At 35.7% G+C, this 15,895-nt stretch overlaps 1 long non-coding RNA gene across 1 annotated transcript in view; it reads right to left on the reverse strand.

Annotated features, from left to right (window-relative positions):
* LINC00376 (long intergenic non-protein coding RNA 376) overlaps positions 1-15,895 on the reverse strand; it is a 144,994-nt gene that overhangs the window by 77,074 nt on the left and 52,025 nt on the right. Inside the window, exon 3 of the long non-coding RNA NR_126409.1 lies at positions 4,037-4,101. This is a non-coding gene — a long non-coding RNA (long intergenic non-protein coding RNA 376). The remainder of the gene's footprint in view (positions 1-4,036; positions 4,102-15,895) is intronic.

Here is a 15,895-nt window from a genome sequence, read left to right on the forward strand (position 1 = left end):
CAGCCTCCCGAGTAGCTGGGACTACAGGCACCTGCTACCACGCCCAGCTAATTTTTTTTGTATTTTTAGTACAGACGGGGTTTCATCGTGTTAGCCAGGATGGTCTCGATCTCCTGACCTCGTGATCCACCCGCCTCAGCCTCCCAAAGTGCTGGGATTACAGGCGCGAGCCACCGCACCCAGGCTCTGGGTTAATTTTTAAAGTAAAAAAATTTAGTGACTTAAAATAATCACTTATTATAATCTCGTATTTCTGGATATTCATGAACTCAGTTGGGCTGGTCTTGCTTTTTTCTGATATGACTGCTGCATATGGTAGTTGAGACTCGAATCTCCCAAAGGCTTCTGTATATATGTGTATCTCTCAGTGTGACCTTTCATGTAGCTAGCTTGGATTCCTCACAGTATGGTGGCCACAGGATAAATATACATTCTTTTTCTGTTGATTGGTTTTCCCAAGAAAAGTATTCTATGAGATAGAAAGAGGAAACTTCCAGGCTCCTAACACTCAGGCCCAGACACTGGAAGGGTGTCAATTTTGCCATATCATACTTGTCAAGTGCTCACATAGCACATTTTGTTTCAAGAGGAAGGACATCAACCCACTTCACAAGGGAACAAGAATCTAACAGCCTAGGACTGTCATTAATTCAGCAAAGACACTTTCTAATAATATATTACTTAATTTTTCAAAGTTTTGACAGTTTTTTTGGATTCTTTGACACCATATCTCTCTAATTTTCCTCATATTCTGATTTTTTTTTCTGAATGCTTCTTTTCAGTGTCCAATTGTTGACTGCTCTACCTTACTAAATATTTAGATTTTAGAATGTTCCAGAGTTTATCTTGAATCTCCTTTATTTTTCTTTCTACGTGCTGTAATGTGATCTTAAACAGGCTCATATTTTAAAATACATATGTAAATAAATATATTTATTTATCTCAAATAACTATCCTCAGTCTGAATCCTTCCATTCAACTTGAGCTTTAATAGGGGATTTTCATGTCTCACTGTGCACTTGTATCCTCCACTGGTATCTCAAATTTAGCATGTCCAAAATGAAACTGTTGAAATGTTCTTCCCCTCTTTCAAATACCACTCCTCACTTACCCTCTGGGGGAAGAAATAATAAAATGAAATAAAAATTTTCATTTATTGTTTTTCAATAAATGAAAAACAAACAAAACAAACCAACATCAATACTTTCATCACCTCTCACTTTTCCCTCTGAATAAATTACCTCAACATTTACTGGTTTTCAAGTCTAGTCTTAAATTCATTCTTCATCTCACGCTTTCCCTTGGACCCAAAAATAATTCAACTGTAAACTCTGTCACTTCCACCTCTGAGAAGAGGTGGCCGCTTTACTCTTTTCTAACTCATAATGTTGCTAGCCTGGACTACTGAAATGATTTTCTAATGCATTGCCATGAATATATTTTTATCCCTACATACACCTTTACTATGTAGGAAGCAAAGTGACATTTCAAAAGTAAATAAAACAATATATACTTTGACCATTTCTAAATTTGCGATTTTGGGTTTATTTGAGAAAAACCTATATTTGATTCTGGTACAGGTATTGATCATGTTGACAGAAATCTGCTATATCACCACCAGTGTTCTTAATAGTTTTTTTTCTATTAATGCACCAATAGTTTTGGTGCATTATTACCTTGTAATTTTATGGCAAAATATTTTACTAAGATTAGCAGAGATAATTTTAGTAATGAATATTTTATTATAATACATAGTTTAATTTAAATTGCATGTTGTCATAGTTTCTGTCAATTCCTCACCCCACTTCATACTCCTGAAAGTACTCTGGAAACCTCTGATTTGTAGTCTGTCTTTATATAATTTTTTTTTCCAGACTTCTTTCCCTCACCATAATTAATGTGAAATTCTTTTATGTTGTTACAGGCAACATTAATCCATTCCATTTTATTGCTAAATAAAATTAACTATATTGAAAAATCATAGACTAGTTATTCTTTCGTCAGTTGATAGATATTTCCAATTTTTGGCAATGATGAGTAAAAGTGATGTAAACATGTATGTGCAGATCTTTGATTATTTGTTTTCATTAATCTTGAGTAAATATCTAGTAGCAAAAATTATCATTTGTGCATTGTGTATTTTTAGATATTTTTAAAAAGACTCAAATATTTTGCAAAGTTGCTCTAATATTTTGCACTCCAACCAAGAAGGTTTCAGAGTTCCAGAAGCCCTGTATCTTTGCCAAAAATAGATATTGCCACTTATTTAAATAACGTGTTGACTGAGGTGGATGTTTACTGGTATTCTCTATAGTTTCAATCTATATTTTTCTCGTGGTTAATAATGTTGCACAATTTTTCATGTTTTTATTTGCAACACATAAAATTCTTTTAGCATCGAAATCATTTTCCCCTTTAAAAATTGGATTGTTTTGCTCTTACATTTTTTGTTATGAAAGTTATTTATAAATTTTAGATACTAGTCCTATGTCAAATATGTATTTTGCAGATATTTTTCCCAAACTGTGGCTTATCCTTTCATTTTTTAGAGACTTTTGAAAAGCAGTAGTGTTAATTTTAATGAAGTCCAATTTCTGAATATTTTCTTTATGCTTCATGCTTTTCTTGTCCTACATAAAATATAATGGACAAATTAAGAATAGCAATAATTTTTTCTTTGTATGAAGCTGTATGCATTTAGGATTTACATTTTTGTGTGATTTATTTCTACCTAATTTTTTATATGTGGTTCAAGATATGGTTTGGGTTTCTTTTTCTTTCTTATTTTTTGTGCATGTTGATTATTCCACTACCATTTGTTTGAAAGACTACCCTTTCTCCACCAAGCTGTCTCTACCACTTTTTGGAAAAACAGTTAACTATGTATTATATAAGTGGATCCATTTCTGGGTTATATGTTATTTTATTGATCTTTATGTTTACTCTGTCATCTGTACCACACTATACTGTAATAGCTTTATAATATTATGTAAAATAAGGTAGAATGAGCCTTCTAAGGTTGGTCTACGTTTTTTAAAATTAATTTAAGTAGTTTTCTTTTCCATTTAAATTTTACCATCAGCTTGTTATTTGGAAGAATTTGTATTAATAGTATTGAGATTTCCAATCCAAGAACGTATTATTTTGATTTTCCATTTATTTAGATCTTCTTTAATTTCTGTCATGATTGGTTTTTGGTTTTCTATATACAAAGATTGCATGTATTTTATTTGATTTATACGTACATATATATTAAGGTTTTGTATCAATATATGATACTTTTTTCTAATTTCAGTTTTCAATTGCTCATTGCTAATATATTTAAATGTAACTGGTTTCTTATATACAACTTTGTGCTTTGAAATGTTACTAAATTAACTTTTTAGTTATGGTGGGTTTTTGCAGGTGGTATAGCATTTTCTATGAAGAAAATCTTGTACTTAGCAAATCATTGATTTTTTTTTTCTTTCTGATGTATGTTATTATTTCTTTTTGTTGCATTATTGCACTAGCTAGGGTCTCTGCATGATATTAGTTGAAATTGAGAGGTGAAGCCAGCTGGACTTCTGGGTCAGGTGGGGACTTGAAGAACTTTTCTGCCTTACGAGAGGTTTGTAAAATGCACCAATCAGTGCTCTGTGGCTAGCTACAGGTTTGTAAAATGTGCCAATCAGCACTCTGTAAAAATGCACCAATCAGCACTCTGTGACTAGCTAGAGGTTTGTAAAATGGACCAATCAGCACCCTGTAAAATGGATCATTCAGCACACTGTAAAATGGACCACTCAGCACACTGTAAAATGGACCACTCAGTGCTCTGTAAAAGGGACCAATCAGCACTCTGTAAAATGGACCAATCAGCAGGACATGGGTGGGGACAAATAAGGGAATAAAAGCTGGCCACCCCAGCCAGCAGCGGCTTCCTGCTCCAGTCCCCTTTCATGCTGTGGAAACTTTGTTCTTTCATTCTTCACAATAAATCTGGCTGCTGCTTACTCTTTGGGTCTGCACCATCTTTAAGAGCTGTAACACTCACCGCGAGGGTCCGTGGCTTCATTCTTGAAGTCAGTGAGACCACGAACCCACTGGAAGGAACAAACTCTGGACACAGAAATGATAAAATCAAAAATATTTTCTTAATGCCAATGTTGGGAGGAAATCATTCATATTCATTGAATATGATATTATCTACAGTTTTTTTATAAATTTCCTTTATCATATTTAGGAAAGCCACATTGATTTCTAGATTTCTAAGAAATTTTATTATAAATGTATGTGTAATTATGTAAAATACCATTTTTCTGCATCAAGTAGGATTTTTATATGTGTTTCTCTTCTCAGACTCTACCCTTATAAGGAATATTTATGTGGGATAATTCTTTAACAATGAGGAAAAAGCCTCTCGTCTGCAGTCAATATAATATTTCTTTGTTGCAAATAGTAAGATCCATTGAATTTCGAATACATATTATTTCTATACCACAATTGAAATATAAGCACTTTAAAAGAAAGTCAACTTCAACTATACTTAGTATATATCTTTACTATCCTTACTATGGTATCGACATCAGGTACAATGTTTTATTCCAAAATTATTTTACATATCTGGTCATGAGGATGTTTACATAAGTTCTTAATACTCTGAGATACTACATTATAGACAAGTATTCATCTTTCCTTCAATATTCCAAAAGTATGCTTTTTTCCTCCTTAGAAACATCTGAGAGCATACCCTCAATAAATTTAATTTTTCCAAGTGTTAGAGTTTAAGACTTTTGCAGGTCCATGCAACTTTTCATTGTGCAAGAATACTTCAGCCAAACATGTACTAATAATTCATGGAAAATATTCTCAGCAGACTAGGAATAAAAGAAAACGTCCTCAACTTTATTAAGGACAAACCCAGGTGGTATAGTATGTTCTTGTAAAAAAATAAAATTGTCTTTTCTCACCAATATATACTTAATTTTCCAAATACTTTAGTCTATGAAAGGAAACAAGAAAAAGATAAACTAAATGTTGAGTATAAAAAAGAAAATATAATAATTAAAGATTATTGTCTATGTAAAAAATGTTAATGAAAGTACAGAGAAGCTCTGAGACATAATAAATAACATTTGGAATACTCCAAAATAAAAAGGCAACTTATAAAATTATATTTTTACATACTAGCAAGAAACAATTGGAAAAGTAAATAAAATATATTTTCACATTCTCAGTAAATAAGAAATCTTGAGAAATAAACGTATTAAAACTTACACAAACCTAATATACTGAAGACATTGTTGAATAAATTAAGGAAGGCATGAATTAATGAAGAGACAAACCATGTTTTTGAATGAGAAGACTTAACATTGTTGTTAAAAGAAAAACTTTAGACAAATTTTATTTAGCAGTGTTCATTTGAGCAAAGAATGATTTATGAATGGGGCAGTACTCAAAACTAGGAAAAGTTCAGAAAGCTCCAGACAGTTTCACAGGCAGCATTCATAGACAGAAAAAGCAAGTGAGATATAGGAACAGCTGGATTGGTTACAGCTGAATTTTTTACCTTTATGGGTATCATGTAATGAGGTATTTGTGTTATATAGACATAGTCTGATCAGTTGGGAGCCTGAGTTTGGCTGAAGCTCAACTGCTGTGATTGACTGAGACTCAGTTATTTGTTATAAGAGTATACACTCAAGTTAGGTTGCAGTTTGTTTGCACAATAGTTAGGTTTCATTTCACTATGAAGAAATGCAAAATGCAGAGGCAGCTTTAGGCCTAATTCAATTTAATTTAGTATTGTTACGTGCCAACTTTTTTGAAAGTCATCCATAAATCAACCACAGTTCCAATCCAAATCCCAGCATACTTTTTTCATATAGGAATTGTTAAGCTGATTATAAAATTACATAAAAATGCAAAGAACTTAGAATAGTCAACATTATTTGGAAAATAAAATTGAGGAATTTTGTTGCTTGATATTAGAACTTACTTAAAAACTAATGCAATATATACAAGGTAGAATTTACATAAGGATATATATTAGTCCATTCTTGTGTTGCTATAAAGAAAGGCCTGATACTGAATAAGTTATAAAGAAAATAGTTTTAATTGGCTCAGAGTTCTTCAGACTATACAGGAAGCACAGCAGAATCTGCTTCTGGGGAGGTCTCAGGAAGCTTACAATCATGGCAGAAGGTGAAGCAAGAGCTGGCATATCACATGGTGAAAGCAGGAGCAAGAGATTAAGGGGAGAGGTGCTACACACTATTAAATAATCAGATCTCATGAGAAATAACTCACTCTCATGAGGACAATAAAGAGGGAAATGGTGCTAACCCATTTATAAGAAGTCTCTGCCAGGCACAGTGTCTCACACTTGTAATCTCAGCACTTTGAGAGGCCAAGACGGGCAGATCACTTGAGGTCAAGAGTTTCAGACCAGGCTGGGCAACATGGCGAAACTCCGACTCCACTAAAAATACAAAAATTAGCCAGGCATGGTGGCACACACCTGTAGCCCCAGCTACTCAGGAGACTGAGGCACGAGAATCTCTGGAACCCCATAGGTGGAGGTTGCAGTGAGTCAAGATAAGAAGTCTTCCCCCATGGTCCAAATACTTCCCAGCAAGCCCCACCTCCAACATTGGGGATTACACTTCAATATGAGATTTGGGTAGGGGCACACATCCAAACTATATCATTCCAGTCCTGGCCCCTCATAAATCTTATGTTCTCACATTTCAAAACACAATCATGCCTTCCAAATAATCCCCTAAAGTCTTAACTCATTCAAACATTTACTCAAAAGTCCAAAGTCAGAAGTATCACCTGAGACAAAGCAAGTCACTTCCACATATGAGCCCATAAAATAAAAAAACAAGTTAGTTACTTCCAAGATACAATGAGGCACCAGCATTGGGTAAACCTTCCCATTCCAAAAGGGAGAAATTAGGCAAAAGGAATTGGCTAAAAGTCCTGGAAAGTCCAAAACCCAGTAGGGCAGTCATTAAATCTTAAAGCTCTATAATAATCTCCTTTGACTCTATGTTCAACACCCAGGGCACACTGATGCAATGGGTGGGCTCCCAAGGCCCACCTTACATTAAGGACATACCTTAATGTAATAAAAGTCATGTATGACAAACCCACAGCCAACATAATACTGAATGGGGAAAAGTTGAAAGCATTCCCTGAGAGTACTGGACCAAGACAAGGATGCCCACTCTCACCACTCCTCTTCAACATAGTGCTGGAAGTCCTAGCCACAGCTATCAGATGAGAAAGAAATAAAGGGAATCCAAAGAGTACCTCTGCCCCTGTGGCTTTGCAGTGTTCATCCCCGGAGGCTGCTCTCACAGGTTGTTGAGCACATGCAGCTTTTCCAAACTCAGGGTACCAGCTGCTGGTAGATTTACTATGTGGGGGTCTGGAGGATGGTGGCCCTTTTATTGAAGCTTAACTAGGAGGTGCCCCAGTGGAGACTTGGGGGAGCTCTTAACCCACATTTTCCTTCCACACTGCTCTAGTAGAGGTTCTCTGTGAGAGCTCCAACCCTGAAGCAGACTTCTGCCTGGACACCGAAGATATTCCATATATCCTCTGAAATCCAGGCAGAGGCTCTTAAGCTTCATTCTTTATTTTCCATACTTTATTGGGGTACAAGTGGTGTTTGGTTACATGAGTAAGTTGTTCTTTAGTGGTGATTTGTGAAGTTTTGCTGCACCCATCACCAGAGCAGTATACACTGCAACCTATTTGTAGTCTTTTATTTCTTGCCCCACTTCTACCCTTCCCCCCAAGTCCCCAAAGTCCATTGTTTTATCCTTATACTTTTGCATCCTCATAGCTTAGCTTGCACACATCAGCTAGAACATACGATGTTTGGCTTTTCATTTCTGAGTTACTTCACTTAAAATGATAGTCTCCAATCTCATCCATGTCACAGCAATGCCACTGACTCATTTATTTTTATGACTGAGTAGTATTCCATTATATATATATATGTATATATACACATCATAATTTCTTTTTTCCACTCCATTGATGGGCATTTGGGTTGGTTCCATGATTTTGCAATTGTGCAAGTATCTTTTCCTTATAATGACTTATTTTCCTCTGGGTAGATATCCAGTAGTGGGATTGCTGGATCAAATGATAGTTCTAATTTTAGTTCTTTAAGGAATCTCCACACTGTATTTCATAGTGGTTGTGTGAGTTTACATTCCCACCAGCAGTGTAGAAGTTTCCATGTTAACTGCATCCACGCCAACATCTACTGTTTTTTTAAATTTTTTTGACTGAATCAAACAACCTATCAGAAATATAATCCACCATGATCAAGTGGATTTCATACCAGGGATGCAGGGATGGTTTAACATACACAAGTCAATAAATGTGATACACCACATAAACAGACTTAAAAACAAAAATCACATGATCATCTCAATAGATGCAGAAAAATCATTAGACAAAATCCAGCATCCCTTTATGATTAAAATGCTCAGCAAAATTGGCATACAAGGGACATACCTTAATGTAATAAAAGTCATGTATGACAAACCCACAGCCAACATAATACTGAATGGGGAAAAGTTGAAAGCATTCCCTGTGAGTACCGGAACAAGACAAGGATGCCCACTCTAACCACTCCTCTTCAACATAGTACTGGAAGTCCTAGCCACAGCTATCAGACAAAAGAAAGAAATAAAGGAATCCAAATTGTTAAAGAGAAAGTCAGGCTGTCACTGTTTTGCTGATGATATGATCATTTACCCAAAAAACCCTAAAGACTCCTCCATAAAGCTCCTAGAACTGATTTAAAAAATTCGGCAGTTTTCAGATACAAGATTAATATACAGAAATCAGTAGCTCTTCTATACACCAACAGCAACCAAGCAGAGAATCAATTCAAGAATTCAACCCCTTTTACAATAGCTGCAAAAAATTAAATCCTTAGCCTCTACGAGGAGAACTATGTATTACTGCTGAAAGAAATCACAGGAAACACAAACAAATGGAAACATCCTATGCTCATGGATGAGTGGAATCAATATTGTGAAAATGACCATACTGCCCAAAGCAATCTACAAAGTCAATGCAGTCTCCATCAAAATATCACCATCAATTTTCACAGAATTAGAAAAAAAATTCTAAAATTCATATGAAACCAAGAAAGAACCCACATAGCAAAGGCAAGACTAAACAAAAGAGCAAATGTGGAGACATCATACTACCTGATTTCAAACTATACTGTAAGGCCATAGTCACCAAAACAGCATGGTACTTGTATAAAAATAAGCACATAGACCAATTAAACAGAATAGAGAACCCAGAAATAAACCCAAACACTTACAGGCCAACTGATCTGCGACAAAGGAAACAAAAACATAAAGTGGGGAAAGGACACCCTTTTCAACAAATGGTGAGGGAATAATTGACTAGTCACATGTAGGAGAATAAAACTGGATCCTCATCTCTCACTTTATACAAAAATTAGCTCAAGATGGAATAAGGACTTAAATATAAGACCTGAAACTCTAAAAATTCTAGAAGATAACATTGGAAAAACCCTTCTAGACATTAGCTTAGGCTAGGATTTCATGACCAAGAACCCAAAAGCAAATGCAATAAAAACAAAGATAAATAGCTGGGACTTAATTAAGCTAGAGCACTTTTGCACAGCAAAAAGAACAGTCAGCAGAGTAAACAGACAACCCCCAAAGTGGGTCTTCACACCCTTTACATCTGACAAAGGACTAATATCCAGAATCTACAACAAACTCAAACAAATCAGTAAGAAAAACACAAACAATCCCATGAAAAAGTGGGCTAAGGACATGAATAGAAAATTCTCAAGATAATATACACAAATGGCCAACAAACATATGAAAAAATGCTCAACATCACTAATGATCATGGAAATGCAAATCAAAACCACAGTGCAATACCACCTTACTCCTTCAAGAAGAGCCATAATCAAAAAGCTTCATTCATTCTTTCACTGTGCACACACTTGAAAGCTTAACATTAGGTGGAAGCCATTGAGGCTTACGTCTTGCACCCTCTGGAACTGTGGCCCAAGCTGTACCTGGGCCTCTTTAAACCACAGTTGGAGCTAGATCAGCCAGGATGCTGGAAGCCATGTCTCAAGGCTGTGCAGGACAGCAGAACCCTGTGCCTGGCCCATAAAACCATTCTGTTCTCCTAAGCCTCAGAGCCTGTGATAGGAAGGACTGCTTCTTAGATCTCTGAAAAGATTTTGAGGCTTTTTTCTCATTGTCTTTGTTCTCACCACTTGCCTCCATTTTAATTATACAAATTTCTCTATCAAGTGATTGCTCAGAAGCCCATTTGAATTCTTCTCCTGAAAATGGGCTAATCTTTTCTATCACATGGCCAAGCTGCAAATTTACCAAACTTGTATTCCCTGCTTCCCTTTTAAATATAAGTTCCAGTTTTAAGTCATTCCTTTGCTTCTGCATATGAGCTTGGGTATTAGGAGCAGCAGGCTATATCTTGAATGCTTTGCTGCTTAGAAATATCTTTTTCCAGATACCATAACTCATCACTCCCAAGTTCAAAGTTCCACAGATCCCTAGGGTAGGGGCACAGTGCAGTCAAGTTCTTTGCTAAGGCATAACAAAAGTGACCTTTGCTCCACTTGCTGGTAAGTTTCTTATTTCAACTTGAGAACTCATCAGCCTGGACTTCATTGTTCATATCGCTAACAGCATTTTGGTCACAACCACTTAACTAGTCTCTAGGAAGTTCCAAACTTCCCCTCATCTTCCTGTCTTATTCTGAGCCCTCCAAGCTCTTCTTACCTGTGTCTGTTACCCAGTTACAAAGTTACTTCCACATTGTCAGGTATCTTTATAGTAATGCCCCGCTCCTTGGTACCAATTTCCTATGTTAATCCATTCTTGAATTACTATAAAGAAATTCCTGAGCCTGGGTAAATTATAAGAAAATAGATTTAATTGGCTCATGTTTCTGCAGGCTGTACAGGAAGAATAGCAGCATCTGCTACTGGGAAGGCCTCAGGAAGCTTACCATCATGGTGAAGGCAAAGCATGAACAGGCACATCACATGGTGAAAGCAGGAGCTAAATGATCAGAACTCATGATAACTCACTATTGCAAGGACAGTACCAAGTGTGATAGTGCTAAATCATTCATAAGAAATCTGTATCTATAATCTAATTACCTCCCACCAGGCTGCATCTCCAAAATGAGGAATTAAATTTCAACATGAGATTTGGGCAGGGACACACATCCAAACCATATCACAATAACTTAAAGATTAATGGAACAGAGAAGAGAATTCATAGCTATGGATATACACACATATGTTCAATGCTCAAGTGATTTTAAACAAATATACCAATGCAATTCATGGAGAAATAGATTTTCAAGCAAACTATACTGAAACAATTGGTTATCTACATGGAAAATAATGAACCTCAAATCTGTCTTCAAATATGTCATTAACATTATCTCAAAATGGCTATGGGCTTTATTGTTAAAGCTAAATCTAAGATATGTTTACCAGAAAAACAGAAGTTAGGCAATATGAATTAGATCTCAAGTTAGGCAATATGAATTAGAAAAGTCACAAAAAGCATAATAATGTAAGAAAAAATAATAAATTGCATTTTATCAAAATTAAAAACTTCACAGACTTCACTAAATAAAGACATAATCTTGGTGTGGAAAAATATATACACACTACATATATCAAATAACTTTATCAAGAATATATGAAGAACTATATTTCTATAAGAGAAACAACATATACTGCTCTCAGAAGTAAGAAGGTCAGTAAAGTTAGTCTTAGCAAAGTGTCATTATTTTAATGACTTTATTATGTACTCTCATTTCTCATTATTGTCAAAATATTTGCTAGTTCATAAATAATATAATGATGTTTCAAAGTAATTTTCATATACATTTTTCTGATTAGAAATCAAGGGGACATTTTTCCCTTTTGTTATTACTACTTATAATACCTTTTAGATAAATTCATTTTTAATAAGTATACTTAGGTTTTAATCTTCTGGAGTATGTACTTTAATATATCTAATACAATTTCATAAATATGTCTTTCTGAAAAGTAAATTATTGAAGCAAGTAATAAAATCAATGTGATTTTTAATCACTTGAAAGGGAAATGTATGACAGTTGTATACAGCATATTTTTCAGTCAATGTTTAATTTAATGAGAGAGATAAAAAGATCCAGACTATTATTTTGTTTACCTTATCATATGAACATAGTGAAAAGATTAATAAATTTTTAGAATGCCTCGCCAAGTAATTGTTTTAACCTGAATCACAACTACACCAGTAAGTATGATGTGTGAAGTGTCCATGTGTTAAGAAAGGTTATGTGTTAGTAAAGTTCAGATCTTTTCTGGATCCGAATGGCTGATCCTTCATACCTGAAAAGCTGAATTCAGCTGGGTAGGGCCAAGAAATACAGTGACATTTGTTTGGGATTATATATGACATTTTATTTATTTGCTACTAGGTCATAGGCATCTCTAGAAATACATTACCTAAATATTTTCACGAGGTCATAATGAAAGCATTATTTTTAGTGATGTTTTCCTTTCTTGTCTCAAGCCTTTGAGATAGATTTCTTTATTTTTATTGTTTTTTTGAGCTGGAGTCTCGCTCTGTCGCCCAGGCTGGAGCGCAGTGGCGCAATCTCGGCTCACTGAAAGCTCCGTCTCCCGGGTTCACGCCATTCTCCTGCCTCAGCCTCCGGAGTAGCTGGGACTACAGGCGCCCGCCACCGCGCCCGGCTAATTTTTTGTATTTTTAGTAGAGACGCAGTTTCACCATGGTCTCAATCTCTGGACCTCGTGATCCGCCTGCCTCGGCCTCCCAAAGTGCTGGGATTACAGGCGTGAGCCACCGCGCCCGGCTGAGATAGATTTCTTATAGTTAAAATAGTTAATTATATGCTTTAGGTTTAATGGGGGTAGAGGACAGGTTTGTAATCATATTACCTGTCCTAACATGGACTTCCATGTGAGTATTTATCTCCCTACGTAATATGACATGTTTGTCAATGTAAACATGATTATACTCTTCCTTTGTTATTCTTTCAACTCTTTTTACATAATTTAGCCTAATTCAGATGCAATAGTATCACCCAGGGCTACATTTCTTCCATCATCTTCAACCCAAAACTTGCTTCATTGAATATAACAAAAAAGTCTATATAAAAAAATCAATGTCTATGTTAGGGTTCCTATAGATAATAGAAAGAAATCTTGGATAATTATCCAGCAATTTTCCTTGTGGTTTCATAATAGTCAGAAAAGTACACAGTTATGTGTCACTTAACAATGTAGATACATTCTGAAAAATGTGTTGTTTATGATTTTATTATTGTGTGAATGTCATAAAGCGTACTTACACAAACCTAGATGGGATAGCCTACTATACACCTAGGATTATGATATAACCAATTGCTCCTAGGTTACAAACCCATACAGCATGTTACTGTACCAAATACTATAGGCATTTGTAACACAGTGATAATTATTTGTGTATTTGCTCATTCCATGGACCCAAGTGACCATGTCAAAAGAATACACAGGGATATATGTTTGTAAAAATTCCAGTCACTTTTTGGTCCTACAGGGGAACTCTTTCCATGGGCATTGACTTGTGCTATGCTAAGAGACCCCCCAAATTTCCACAGGACCATGCTCTATATGGCCATCTTTTTAATTCTCCAGTTCCCTCTATAATCCACCATTCCACTGGAAAACCATGCAGCCCAAGCCATGGAAGAATACCTTGCAATTTCCAAGCCCTAGAGTTATCCTGGGGAGAGTGTGGGAGACTGTGTGAAGGAAAGGCCCTGAGAACAGCTTCAGACACTTTACCAGACCCAGGAATAACAGGAGGACACAATTTTTAATCTTTGCTCATAGCAAGCTAGTAGTATTTGTGATCTAGAAGTGGCAGCTTCTGCAGGCATTAGACTATTACAGGAAGAAGATTGGAGTACTAAGTGGAGCATGAGAAGGGCCTGAGCAGCCAGAACTGAGTGATGAGTGTGAAGTGCATTTTAGTTGTAAGTTCTGGATTTGGGCTCTTCTACTTCATGGAACCAGAGCAATAAAAGATTCACTGCAGCTTCAGTTTTGCCTGGGAGGCAAGATTTGGAGAAAGAGATCACTTTGCAATTTAAGGCAAGTCTGCATGTGCTCCAGCTTGCTTTCTTGTCAGATTGAGAAGGAAATTCCATAAATTATGAGGAGTAACAGGGAGGCAGGTCCTATATCTACTTGCCTGAACTAGGAGCCTAGGCCACTTCTCCTTTTCCATACAAGAAACTTGGTGCAGCAGCAGTTTCTTCAGTCTTCACCAGGCTTTTGGCAACTGCCCTCCAGATTCCGGCAGAGGTGGTGCTTGCATTCACTACTGGGGGGCCCAATTGTGGAATTGCCCAGCCCAGCTGAACCCAGCTTTGCCTCCACTTTGAGACTGAGTGTGAAACTCAAGTGTATTCCACAGCCTAGCTCACTGTCTGTGACACAGAAGAACTCCTCTTCTACCCTTACCTGTGTCACCTACTTGCCTGGTGGTTGATCTGCACACCCTATAAAAATTACATTGACACAAGTGCATAGCACTTGGGAATAATATGTCTCTTGTGACCACTGCCACACTGGCTTCACAGGAGACTGGCCTGCTGACACTCCAAGTACATTTCAACTAAAACTGGCATTTGAGAAAGTCAGCACACTCAAGCTTTCTATAACCAAATAATTGAACACGTGCAGAAACCATTGAACACATGCAGAAACAAACCCAAATGTCCCTGCTCAAGACACATTATAGTCACATCCTCAAGAAAAAAGTCCCATCCTAATGAATGTAAATTAAAAAACAAGAAATGACAGTTTCTCCAGATGAGAAAAAATTCAGCATAATAATTATTTATGAAAAAGCAGGGGGTAGCAAAATTCACAATGGATTCTAAGAAAAATGAAAAATTTTAATGCCAGATAAATTCAAAATCATGTTTTAAAGAAGATCAATTAGATCCAAGAGAAATCAGAAAACCAATTCAAAGACATTAGAAAATTAAACTCAGAATATGAATAAGAAATTAACCAAGGACACAGATATAAAAAAATAGCACTTCTGGAAATAAAAAATATTGAAGAAAATATACAATACAGTAGAAATCTCCAACAAAGACTGACCAAGCAGAACAATCTCGGAACTTGAAGAAAGGTCTTTTGAATTAATCCAGTAAGACGAAAATTTTAAGAAGAATAAGAAGGAATGAACAAAGTGTTCAATAAAAATGAGACCTACTAAAGTCTTAAAATTTATGAATGATTGGTTTTATTGAGGAGAAATAAACAAAATGTTTGAAAAATCTATTTAAGGAAATAATTGGTAAAACCTCCCAAGTCTTGCAAGACATATAGACATCCATATACAAGAGACCCAACAAACACCAGTAACGTTGGTATCACCATAATACATAGTCATCAGACTGTCTAAAATAATGTGAAGAAAGAAAATACTACAATCAGCAAGAGAAAATTGTCTATCCACCTAAAAGGAAACTCCATCAGACTCATAATGGATTTCTCAGAAGAAACCTTCCAAATGATTGTGAACCTATTTTTAGGGTGCTTAAATTAAAAAATGTCAACCATAAAATATATATCCTGCTAAAATAATTTTTACAAATGAAGGCACAACAAAGTGTTTCCTAGACAAACTCTGAAGGAATTTGTCATCACTAGATCAGCTGTACCAGAAATGCTTCAATTTTGGAATTCTAAACATAGAAACAAAAGATAAATACTCACTATTATAAAAATACGTGAAAGTGCAAAACTCACAGATCTTATAAAATAATAACA

The sequence above is a fragment of the Homo sapiens genome, chromosome 13, assembly GCF_000001405.40.
Source record: "Homo sapiens chromosome 13, GRCh38.p14 Primary Assembly".
Taxonomy (NCBI): Eukaryota; Metazoa; Chordata; class Mammalia; order Primates; family Hominidae; genus Homo; species Homo sapiens.